Raw genomic sequence first — 13508 nt, forward strand, 5'->3', positions numbered from 1 at the left:
TTATTTTATTTTTGTTTTTCTCTATTTTGAGTCAAGTCCATAATTTATGTATTTTTATTAATTTTTTAATAAGGAAAGCAATTAAGATTCTCATCTGTCTTTTAGGAACAACTTTAATTTTTTTCTGTTTAAAAGAGTAAATGTATTCGTTGTAGAAAATCTGATAGTATACATGGAGAAAAAGTAGACATTTGTACAGCTTTTACTACTTTCCCATAAGTTTTGACATGTAGTATTTTTTTTCATTTTTGTCAACGTAGATAGTAATTTTAGTTCTGATTCTGTGTTTTGGGATGTACAAGTTAGTTGGAAAAGAGTAAAAAAAATTTAAGTAAGAGAGGTTTTATTTTGCTAACATTGTTATTATTTTCAATTTTTCATATTGTGAAATAAAATATGGCTTTCACAACATAACAGTGACTTAAAAATGATAGAAGTTTTTTCTATCATTTTTCCCTTGTGTAAAAATGTCTGGAGGAAAAGGCCCGATGGCTTGCTTAGTAGCTTCTTGGAATTATCATGGATCCTGATTTCTGTTGCTATTATCCTAATATAAGGTATTCATGTTCTGGTCACCTCTTGTTTACGATGACTGCTAGTGCCCTAGCCAGTTGTATCGAAGTTGCAGTCTGCATGAAGGAAGAAAGATGGAAGTGCAGACAGAGGAGAGGCCCTCCCAGCAGAGTTATATCCCTATAAGGTGTTTTTGTGACGGTCCTAAGTATTTCCACTTGTATGTCCTTGACCAGAATTTTGTCACTTGACCACTGCCAGCTGTAAGAAAGGTTGGAAAATCTAGTCTTTTATTCTGGCAATTAACTCAGTTAAAAGTCAAGATTTTATTTCTAAGGACAAAAGAAAGAATGAACAGTGAGGTGGGCAGGTAGCGGCTTTGTAAGAGTATAATTTAATGCTCTTCACTGCCCCCTACCCTTGCCACAAATCACTTTTTTCCTACCTCCAAATACAGTTATATTTTAAGTTTTTGTTAAATCAATAGCCAGAATATACTTAGTATTATACTAATATTAATATTGCTCACATTTAAGTAATGTGAAGTAGTGATCACATTCTCTTTTTGTGTACATCACTTTGCTTTTCCAGCTATGACAGACAAAATCATTTCACATCTATTCCAATCCCTCCTTTGTGTTGACTCAGTGATGAAAACTGCAGAACTAAAAACATGTCTCCCAGATTTCTTTGAATCCAGGTGTGGTTATGTGACACAGTTCTGGAATCTTTTTTTGTTTGTTTGTTTCTATTTTTCCCATGATTATTGAGGCTGAAATGGCCATTTTGTGACCAGAAGGAAAACAGTAATCTTGGCCCTACTAACACCAGCAGTTACCCATCTCCAAAATTCTTATATGAAAAAAATCGGAAAACAAAACCTATTTGTGTAAGCCCCTGTATTGTCAAATGTTCTGTTACTCATAGCCAAATGTGATTGCTAATTGATACACTTGTAGTAAAAAAAAGTCTTTTATATATAAATTTTCTATCTAGTTATGACTAATTTTAACTTGCACTATAGATCTGACGGCCTTTTGGCAATGGGAATACCTCCCAGATTTTGCATATTGCCTGATAGCCAATCTTAATTTTTTGTAAGATTTGTTTCCCATCCCTTCATTGCTATTTTACCATGAATTTATAACTTCCATATAAGGAAATATTATGTAGATACTACTTTAAATCCTGGAATTTCTTTTTTTCTTTTCTGTTTTTTTTTTGAGACGGAGTCTCACTCTGTCACTCAGGCTGGAGTGTAATGGCATGACCTCGGCTCATTGCAAACTCCGCCTCCTGGGATCAAGCGATTCTCCTGTCTCAGCCTCCTGAGTAGCTGGGATTATAGGCACCCACCACCACGCCTGGCTAATTTTTGTATTTTTAGTAGAGCTGGGGTTTCACCATGTTGGTCAGGCTGGTCTCGAACTCCTGACCTCGTGATCTGCCTGCCTCAGCCTCCCAAAGTGCTGGGATTACAGGCATGAGCCATTGCGCCCGACCCAATCCTGGAATGTTTTAATGAGTGAATCATTTTTGTCGTTTATTCTACATTTACTTCTAAATTTAACTTTTAAAAATAAATATATCGATAATTGGATATCAATGCATCTGGTTTCCAAACTGCTTTCAGAAGATGATTTGAACTTATTATTTTTAATAACTGGAGAGTAGAGATAGATTTCAACTAGGCAAAGAGAAAGTAAGGGCCAAACGTGATATTCTTGGGACCTCTGCAGAATTTACATTTAAACTCATTACATGTTTAGAGCATGTAATTTAATTCAATAAAGGTGGTTTAGGAGGCAGCAAGATGGGGAGGTGTGCCTTCTTGTTTATAGAGAAATTTTGGGCAACCTTAGTATACCAGGATACAGCCTTTCCAATTTCCCTTCTCTTTATTAATGATCCCTTTTATTTGGGATTTGGCCAAAAGGAATATAGTTTGATTCATGTGTTCACTCAGACTTTCCATTTGTAGTCACTGATGATTTCAACTCTCTTTGCAACTAGAAAGACGAAAAATGTTGTAACTGGCTCCATTTCTCTTTTATGGACCCCTTGAGCACTAATTATTAACAACCAAGGGAGCAACTGGGCACAGAATTTCCCTAGGTGATTGACTAATCCGGTGGTTCTCAAAGTGTAGTCCTTGGACCAGCAGCATGGGATCATCTGGGAGCTTATTAAAAATGGAGAGTCTTAGTTCCCAACTCAAACTTTCTGAATAAGAAATTGGGAGTGGGGCCCAGCCATATGTATTTTAACGAGCCCTCCAGGTGATTCTGATGCATCCTCAAGAGTGAGAATAACTGATTTTAATTATTAGGATCAGAAAAGAAAAAGAAGCTCTGGTTAGCCCAGAAGTGTTAAAAAGTTCAGCTGGCAATCTGAGAGAAAAAGATGAAAAAGAGAAAGGTAGTTTTTCTTCAGTCATCAAGGCGAGCTGGCAAAGAAAACTCATTGATAAAATAGCATTGGCTATGCAATGTAACTAAAGATGTGTGATACCATCATTTAGTCATTCATTTATTCTTCATTTTTTATTTAATTTTTTTTTGTTTGTTTATTAACGGTGATTGTTTGCCAGGCATTGAACTAAGTTTAGAGAAAAGATGCAAAGGTGTTTAAGACATAGAACTGTTACAAGATCTTTGGGGTGTTGCTTTTCTGGCTGGAAACCTCTGCGGCCAGTGGCACTATTGCCTGAGTTCTTGTCCTAAGTCCAGGAAGAATGAGGTATGCAGACAAACGGAATGTGAGCAAGATGAAGAGGAGCTTTATTGAGTGTTAGAACAGATCAGAGGAGACCTGCAGTGGGTCGCTTCTTTCTATAAACAGGTCATCCTGTTCAGTGCTCAGCTCTCAGCTGAGAGGGGAGGCCCTGGAGTTGTGGCTCCTCTCTGCAGGCAGGTCATCCTGAGAAGTGTTCAGCCCTCACCAGACAGGGTAGCCCTTCTCTGCAGCTGGTTGTCCAGACATCTGCTCTGCTCTGAGTTTAGGGTTTTTATGGTCTTCGTGGTGGGAAGTGCGTACTGATTGGTCCATGGGCAGCCATGGGTGGGCCCTGGAAAAAGCACAGCCAGTTCCCCCTCCAGTCTGCAGGACTGGCAGCCCGGCCTCCTCAGGCCCTCCTGGCCTTCCTGGCCTCAAGGTGAGGCTTCACCAAGGACCTGCCCCCTTCTGTCCAGGAGCCTGTCTGCCCCTCCTTCATGGCACCCAGGCCGTTGGTGCCAAGGGGTGTCTGCAGGCCAGTGCTGAGCTGCCCTCAGCTCCACTTCGGCTTCCCTCCCATGCTCCTGGCACCCAAAGTCCAGAGGAGGCTGAGGTGGCAGGGGCCTGGCTGTCAGTGCTGCCCCAAGCGTGTGCCCATCCAGCTGCACAGCAACAGCACCTGGGCTCGGGCCCAGCCTTGCTCCATGATGTGAGTGGGAGTGGGTGCTGGGAGCAGGGAGAGGCCAGGCAGTGGGAGCAGGCACTTCTGAGCCTGGAGGGAGCAGAGGTGACTTCTTGGGCCCCCAAGAGCACAGGGATGCCTGGTCCGCAACAGGGCTTGGGCGGCTGAAGCTGCACCAGGGGAGCTCCCTCCCTACCAACTTGGAGAAGGCGGGTTCCTGCTTGTCCCTGGCACCTGCGGCTCCATGGAGTGTGCAGCCCTGGCCATGCCTCCGAGATCTGAGTGGGTGCTGACAGCGAGGAGAAGCCAGGCAGTGGGAGCAGGCACTTCCAAGCCTGCAGGGGGCAGGAGGGCCTTGCCAGGCCCTCAAGAGCACAGAGACACCAGGGTCTAGAGGCGTGCCAGGTAGCCGCAGCGGCACCCAGGGCACCCAGGGAGGGCAGAGGGGCGTGGGGCGCCTGCCTGCTCCGTGGAGTGGGAGGCCAGCAGTGCCTCCACACTGCAGCCGCCGTCTTGGCAGTGGCCATTCTAGATGGGCCGCTGCTGCCGTCAGAACCAATCTTTAAAGAATTTATATTCTGTAAGGAGAAAGCAGGAGGGGATTCGGAAAGAAAGTAAAATAAAGCAAGAGGCACACATATGGGCTTAGAAGCACACAGGAAAGACTAAAAATGAAAAGGCAAAACCTCCTTTAGTTGAAACGAAGGTATAGAGTTTGACACTGATACATTAATGATATTTCCCATTTGTATATGGCTTTGTGAGCCATATGCGAAAAGAACACAGGCCCACATGCATGCTAATGGTAATGATACTGTGGATTGTTGTAGTAATAATTTATGCTCCAGGAAAGCTGTGGTGAAAAAATGTAAACACAGAAGTAATCAAATACACAGTGGTAGTCTTTTCATCTTCTAAGGTAAGTACACTTCAGCCAGGAAAACAATCAACTTAAACTCAAAATACAATGGCCTGATGAAGAAACCTCAGTGACCCTACACGCACAATTGAAGGGCATAGCAAGAGCAACATCTTGGGAAATCCAATGAAATCTAGTCAGTATAGATTTTGACCTGCCATTTCAACCTGATCAAATGCAGCTCACTACATCCTAATTGTTAACAGAGAAAATTGACTGAGGAGAAAAATCAGCTCCTACTATTGTTCCAGTGACATTGCTCCAACTAAGAAAGAATTCAATCTCTGAAGATCTAGCAGAGGCTGCTGTGAAGGAACTGCTTACAAAGCTCTCTCTTTGTGATTTAAAAGCATGAAATAACCTCATTTCAAAGTTGAAAGTCTTAAAAAAAATTATCGCCTGTATAGCCTGGATTTTGAATCAGGCTTGGGATAAAGTAGAAGAGTCTCTGCATGTAGACCCAAATATCTGTTATCAAAAAGCCTGATCATTCCTTTCAGAATTCATGGCAAATACTATTTTGCCATCCAAAATACCTTTTGAAGGGCATTTGAGTTTTTAGGGCAATTTCTGTAGGGAAACAAAACAAATGCACAGAAAATCTATTTGCACCTTATGCTGTGGAGTCCCGGTGTATTTGAGTCATCTTGTTCATGGAAGAAATTGTTCTTAAAGAACAGCTATCAATATTGCAAAATTGTAGGGTGGGATTCTAAAAGACAGTTCCATCTACATTCTTGTTTGCTTGTTTCTCCTCTACTGCTTGAAACAAAATAATTTACATAGATTTTGTTTGTGAGACAATAGTGAGGGCATCTTTGGGTCTTTGGAAGGTCTCAGTAACGTTTGGCTATCTGGATAGCTCATATGTTGGCTTTCCATAAAGAAGTCCGTAAAGCTCAGAAAAACTCTTTACACATCATGTAACTGTGCTGTGTTTGAAAGTTGCCTCCTGAAAATTAAATAAAGCTATATTGATTTCTTCTGGGCCACATAATTTATTTTTGGAATTTAATCTAGCTCAAATTTCTGCATGGATTTTTGAGATAATGTTTTTCATCATGGTCTGAAAATAGAGCTAACTAGTTGGAAATGCAGGTAGCTACCATGTAGATATATTCCCACATTAGGCTTATTATTTATATTGTTCAGCCATATAGTCAAAGAAAAGAAATTGTTCTCCAGAACACTTATCAATATTGCTATTAAGGCAAAAATTTCTAGGCTCTAACGTTATAGGAAATGTAGAAGAAGGTAGGAATATAAATGTCTGAATTATCCACACTTTATAGATGAATTTCCTAAGTAAAGCCTCAGGTTAACAATAGCATTTACTAAAGTTCTCCTAATCTTCTGCTTCTATTCAGGGTCACATACTACATAGTCTTTGATCCCAAGAATCATGCTACTAATGGAGTACTTACTGTATTAGCATGTTAAAATATTAGGAAAAAGATTATTGTACTACTTATGTTTGTGCATGGATTAATTCCTCTATTATTTGACCACTATTTATTGACAGCTTACAACGTATTAGGCATTGGGTGGAATAAAGACATGAGTAAGACACAGCCCTTACCACCAAGAGTCTCAGAATCTGGTAGGAATGCTATAGCAGAGACTGATGTTTACAACAGATGGCAGACTGTCATAGGTAAATGGATAAAAAAATAGATAAAGATATATAGATGACAGACAATAGATATATGAGATTGGTAAATAGGTGGATAAATAGATGGACAGATAGATGGATGGACAGAGAGGTAGGTAGATAGATAATTAGGTAGGTACCTATCAATGAGTTAGATGTTGTCATTCTCTCTTAGAGTGAAAGCTGAAGCAGTGCCTCAAAGTCTACATGGTCTAGCTTCCTGCCACTCCCAACACTGTATCCTCCTATCCTGTTCCTTTCTTATTGTGTTTAAAATACTAACTTCCATGCTGTTGTTGAAATGCATTTAGTATGTTCTTCCTAAAGTTTTTTGCATTTCCTATTTCCTTTGACAGTTGGAATTTTTTTCCCTAAGATATACTCATAACTTTCTCTTTCCCTTAATTCCGATGTTCAAATGTTACCTCATCAAAGAAATATTCCCTGACCACACTACTATTGCCGTTCCTCTCTCTACTTTTACTTATCACTGCTCTTCATTGAAGCTATCACTACCTGCCACGTTATACATTTATTTCTTTCTTTTTCTGTCTTCTAGAATGTAAGCTCCATAATAGTGTGAACTTTTGTTAACCACTCTATGCCCAGTGCCTGAATTGTAACTAACATATAGTAGGTACTCAATATGTATTTGTTGGTTGAATGAATGACTAGAAAATTATGTAAAAGCATCATGGAGAAGAACATGAAAGACATTGGATTCTGAATTAAGGAATTTTGGCTTTATTTGATAGCTGTATCAGTCTACTACTCCCACAAAAATACATTGTCATAATACAATAATAATCATTTATTTCTCATGCATCTGCAGATCAGTGGCTAATGGTTGGCTAATTGAGGCTGTGCTCAACAGGATGGTTATACTGGTTTTAGTTGGGCTCACTTCATGAATCTGTAGTCAGCTTGCATCTGTAGCTAATCTTCAGGGACCAATGGACCAGCCAGGGTGTTATCTTCTCATGGTGAAGACAGACCCAAATGAGAGCAAGACTGCCTGTGCCAGTAGTTTGCCATCCTCTATATGCATCATGTCTGCCAACATACCATTGGCCACAGCAAATTATACCCCAAATCAAAGAACAGGGAAGTCACTTTGCTTGTAGAAGGAGGAGTAAAATTTAAATTGAATCATGTGGGGAATGTTATTTACATTTGTCAGCAGTTTAAGCTTTTTTATGGATTATTATAAAACATTTAAGTTTTTTCATCATTGAGATATATTATTTGGAGCCATTGTTGAATTGAAATTAATGAAGGTGAACCATCATGCAGTCTTCCAATTAAAAAAAATAGTTTCTAGCATGCAGGTGGTGGTGTACGTATGTCCGGATCACAATATACCCAGTATGTAGGTTAATAACTTGTGCTGTTAAGAGATAGTTTGTTTTATACACGATTTATTTCCCAGCTTTTATCTTAGGAACAACTAAGTGCTCCCTCTGCTCCCATACAATTTTCCCTTCGTAGGAATTTAATTTATAAGACTGCTGACTTTAATTACAGATGGAAGCATGAAACTGTTCTATCAAAATGTAATTGACTGTCATAATAGTATAGCTTTGAGATTTTCTTGTTTTCCTCTCCCATCTAAAAAGAGTAGACTCTGGAGATTAGAGTTAATGATGCTGATGCTGTATTGATTGCTGGATTATTTGTTTTCTTTCTTCCTGCATTTGGGACTAACTTGATTATTTAAAAGACACCTGCAATTCTTTAGCAAGTGTTTAATTCCAGTCAGGGAATGTTCCATCACATATGTGGGTACTGTATTATAATGTTTACCTAAATATGACAATATGATAATAATATTTTTGTGTGTGTATATTATGTGTTCGGTAGGAGTTGCGGCAGAGAACAGTTTTAGTATTGGGCAAAAGTCCAAGAGTTAGAAGAGTTATCACTAGCAGGGTCAGGTTGAACAGAATTTCTAGGTTGCATTTCCTAGAAAAACTAAAGTCACATCTCCCCTATGTAAGAGATGAAGTCGATAGGGGGTGTTACGGGGCTGAAAATTATTCATATTCTTGAAGGCAATTTACTTATAAATGTGGCCACCAATAAATCTTTGGTTACATACTATATCCCAGATAGCCATACCATTGGCTAAAATTCCTAGCAGCTTCTGTTAATTGGAGCCTAAATGGAGTTAATTACAGACAGGTGAATCCTTTCATATTATGAATAGTGATGTCTATCATCCTTGTTTCAGTTAGATTTCACCATCATAACAGTGTTCATAAAGGGCTTTGTGCTTCATGACTTTGCTTCCCATGCTAAAATTGAATAGACCTACCTGCATGTTTTCTTTTTGTATTTTTTGCTGTTGTAAGACAGTTATTCTCGTTTTTAACATCTGCCCCAGCTCTTCACTATGCCCACTCTCTGAAAATGATTTGGTAGTTTCCCTCTTGGTTTTATTTGATCCGTAGAATGAAGGTAAATAAATGGTGAGCATGTCAATACAAGCATGCACAACCCAGTACGGGTGCACAAAGATGGGGAAAATGAAGCAAGTGGATTTAAGTATCCTAACTCAGTATTGTTTTATTAAAACAATACTTAGAATAGTCTTTTTATTAAATAATTTTGATAGAATAACATATAATTCTGATTAATTTGCTAGAATAAATATAGGTTTTTACTTAACTCCTGGATAATCACATCTAAACTGTGATAGAATTATGACAAATTTCTAAAAGATTCTTCATTAGGCAGCCTGTGTGAACTCTTTTTTTGAGATGGAACCATGTATATTTTGAAGATCTCATCACCACATATCTATGACATTTCACATAATGACTCCGTAAAGACATATTCTGACACATTCTCATTAGCAAGTTATATAGATTGCTTACTAAAGTAGTGGAAATTACTTTTGAATGAACTCTGCAAGCCTGGGTAAATGACTATGTGAGAATGAGTTAATCAGCTGTCTTTGTTAAATGTTTTTCTAAGTGTGGGAGGCCTTAGCAGGTAATTTGGCTTTCTCTGATTTGCAGCTGCTGTCATCATTGCTGTATGTGATTGATATGTCTGACTGGACAAATTTGCAACCTGACACTAATGCTGATGAATGGTTCACAGATACTGGATTATTGATAATTTCAGAAAGTGCCCATGGAATTGCATCTAAGGGGCTGGTTTTTCAACTTGCAGATCCATGTCGTGGTAAAACTTATGAGGCAAAATTTCTTTGTGAGAGTTTTGAGTTAAGCCCCATATAAGGTATAGTAAAAATGCAACAAATTGTGCTATGAATTTTCTCTAGAAGAACAAATTTCAGCCTCAGTTTTGGTATCAGGTAGATATATTCTTACAGATAATGGATTCCTTTACAATTTTGTGTTTTACCTGCAACTGCTTTATGAAGTAAAGGATTATTTTTGCTTAATAGCTGCACAATGTTTTGCAGAGATGTAGAATGTTAGGCTTAAATGTATCATTTGATATTGCCAAGTCCAATACTTGTCAAAACCTCTCTAATGTCAGAGGAGGGTAAATACTTGCATTCTGAAATTTGGGAGTGGAACCTAAAACCAATAAACACGGTTGTATTTGAGGTCGTAAGATTTAGAATCTTTATCCATAGTATACCCATGTTCATTGAACCAATATTTCTGCTTGGCTGAGCTTCCTTGTCTGCATGAATTAAATTAAATTGGCTTAATACCCTCATTCCCATGTCCTATGAGAATTCCAAAGCCTTTCTCATGATATGTGTACATTCCTAGGGGCTAGGTCACCTGTCTCTCAGGTTGTGTTGGTCACCTGTCTCTCAGATTTCCTGCTTTCACTGAACTTTCAGTCTCTCTCTCAAGTCTTATCATCTTTAGCTATTTTCTCCCCACCCCCTTGAAGATCAAAAAATAGGGTTCCCTTCATTCGTTTCCCCATAATGTAACTCATACAAGGTATATGTAGGAATACTAAATGTTGGTTAAAAAAATAGTTCAGTGGCAATGAATTTGCAGCATAGCACCACACAGCAGAAACTTAAGAGTAAATGTGAGCCAATTTTGATCTTAAAAGTGTTCTGTCACCCTGCCTCTGGGATCTTCTCACCAGCTAACATTGATCTGTAGGCTCTTCTTCTGCCACCCATGCCTTATTTCATCTCACTCATTTTTTCTCTCTCCATACTCCATTCTTCTCTGAATTGTGTCACAAAGTTTTGCTAATATCATATCTAGAATGGTTTAGGTACCTGTCTAGTTCCAGAAAACTGAGGCTACTTCACTAGGCACCTTTGTATCATAAACCTTTTCCATCAAGGTGGCTCCCTGAAAAAGATTGTTTTATTTCACAGAAGAATTCCATAAAGAATCTCCTCCTTTATTTCCTCCATGTTACACTGATTTTAATTAAAAAGCTTTGTTCCTCTTATATATTTAGTACATTTTCTGCTTCAACAACATGTGACCATTTTTAACTTATAATTTTGTGCTTACCTCCCTATATATCCTAAACATTCAGTTTGAAAAGAATGGGTCTATCTCCTGACACAAGTATGAGTCTACTTCTCGGTCTCTCTTCTGTTATGTCAGCCTCTCTCATTTTATGAGAAATGAAATCCAACATCACTAAGTGATTTGCCCAATGTTCCAAAACTCAGAACACTTAACAGGGAATACAAAATTCTGCTCTCTCATTATTCAAGATGGAATAAGTTTCTTATTATTAGTGAAATTGTGTCAAGCAAGTACATCTCTACTTTCTCATAGGGGATCCTTAATTGTGTGCCTAATCTTTTAAGAAAAATTTTGTATTCTAAAAATATCCATGTGAAATGTCCATACGTGTTTTTTTTTTCACTTATGCCTGCATTGACCTGTTTATAAATTTCTTTTGGAATATTACCTGCGGGAAACTTCAATGTTATGTTAACTTATGTACCATCATGTGGGAAGGTTTATCTATCTGCCAGATCCTGTTCAGGTATTTCTTTTTTTTCTTTTTTTTGAGACAGAGTTTCACTCTTGTTGCCCAGGCTAGAGTGCAATGGCATGATCTCGGCTCATTGCAACCTCTGCCTCCCGGGTTCAAGTGATTCTCCTGCCTCAGCCTTGTGAGTAGCTAGGATTACAGGCATGCGCCACCACACCCGGCTAATTTTGTATTTTTAGTAGAGATGGGGTTTCTCCATGTTGGTCAGGCTGGTCTTGAACTCCTGACCTCAGGTGATTCGCCCACCTCGGCCTCCCAAAGTGCTGAGATTACAGGCGTGAGCCACTGCACCTGGCCCTGTTCAGGTATTTTTGTGTTTTCCTTTGTCCTGATGGTGAGTCATCTGATTATCAGGGGCCAGCAAGACCTTGGAGAACTGCTGTCTCAGAACTGAGGACAAGGTTTCTATTTTGGTTCTTTCCCCCACAGATTATTTTTCTTTCAAGCTTTGTGTCTTATTAATTTCCATGATTGACCACACATTTTCTTGTGGGTACAAATTCTCACCAAATCAACATAGATTTAAAAAATTCCACCTGTGTTCTTTGAACTGTGCAAGTTTTGATCAGGGATTGAAAAAAGTATATACCTTGGTTCTTATTCTCAATTTTCTTAGTGTTGGAGAGAAGAAATAGATATGTTTAAAAGTTAAGTAATAAGATTTAAGTGACATTTTTAAGAAAATAATAGAAGTAATATCATAAAGCTGAACACTATACATTGATAAATTAAAGGTATTTAGACAAATGACTATGTTTGTGCTCTTTTGAAAATCTGCTCAAAGCTGTGGACTCTGTCTAAAGAAATGGACATACACATATACATTAATGATTGTTATATCTCCATGGAGAATTATGTGTATATGTGTCTAATAAAAACATTTCAAAATGCATGTGGCAAAACTGACAGAAATGCAAGGAGAAATAGATGACGTTAAGAAGCCTTAGTCCAGACTGAAAGTACCATAGGGGTTGAAAGACATGGATGATTGATTCCAGATGGACTGATCAAGGAGACTTCTGGAGATAGGTCTTGAAAGATTAACAGAAGGGAAAAGGGCAAGGCTGGGGCAGAGAGCATTCCAGACAGGAAAAACCCCGAGAAAAACTGTAAAAGACAGGACATTAAAAAGCATAGTTTGGCAGTGCTAAACCAATTTGGAGTGAGGCAGAAGTGGAAGGAAAAATATCAGGAATGGGTTCAGCTTGTGTTGGGTTGCAGAGGACTGTGAATAATGGTGCAATTATTTTTATTTATTTATTACAAAAGTAATACATGCTCACTGTAAGAAGTTCAAATCATAATGGGATCTAAGAAATAGAAAGTGAAAATCCTTTTCTTCTAATTGTGGAGTATTATTAGTATGCACTACATGTGCTGAACCTGCTTTTTGATTGAACAATGTAGGCATTATGGCCGCCTTTCTACATCAAACATAAATATAAGCCTTGTCATTTTAATGATTTCAGCATGTTTTTATATGAAAGTACCATGATTTGTGTCATCAATTTTTCGAAGTTTTCTCCCTTATTTCACTAGTATACCCATTATGGCAATAAACATCCTTATTCTTATACTTTCAAGCACTTCTCTTATTGTATCTTTAGGGACAAATTCCTAAAACTTCTAGATCAAAGGATATACATATTTCAAATTCTGACCCATTTTATTAGATTACCCACCAGAAATTCCATCTCTGTCAAGAGGTGTAAGAATCCCCGTCTTCTCATATCTTCTACTTTAACATTTTTGATCTCTTAATAATACCTTTTCTTGGTTTGGAGTACAGTTATATTGTTATTTTTAAAAATAACTCTTCAGTCCTTTCTTTGGACCAAGAAAGGGAGAGAAAGGGTGGGGAGGGGAAGGGGAGAGAGAGACACAGAGAGAAAGAGCACGAGCGAGCTGAAGCATTTTTGTTCATCTCTCTTGCTGTCCTCAGAGTTGTGTATTTCTTAGGAACCAGAGCAAATTCTGTAACAATTATGAAAAGAATGATAATAAAGAAGAGTATTCTGTGTGAAAGAAACATGAGAACCTGTCATGGGGATGTTATACTGGTT

The sequence above is a fragment of the Homo sapiens genome, chromosome 3, assembly GCF_000001405.40.
Source record: "Homo sapiens chromosome 3, GRCh38.p14 Primary Assembly".
NCBI classification, from domain to species: Eukaryota; Metazoa; Chordata; class Mammalia; order Primates; family Hominidae; genus Homo; species Homo sapiens.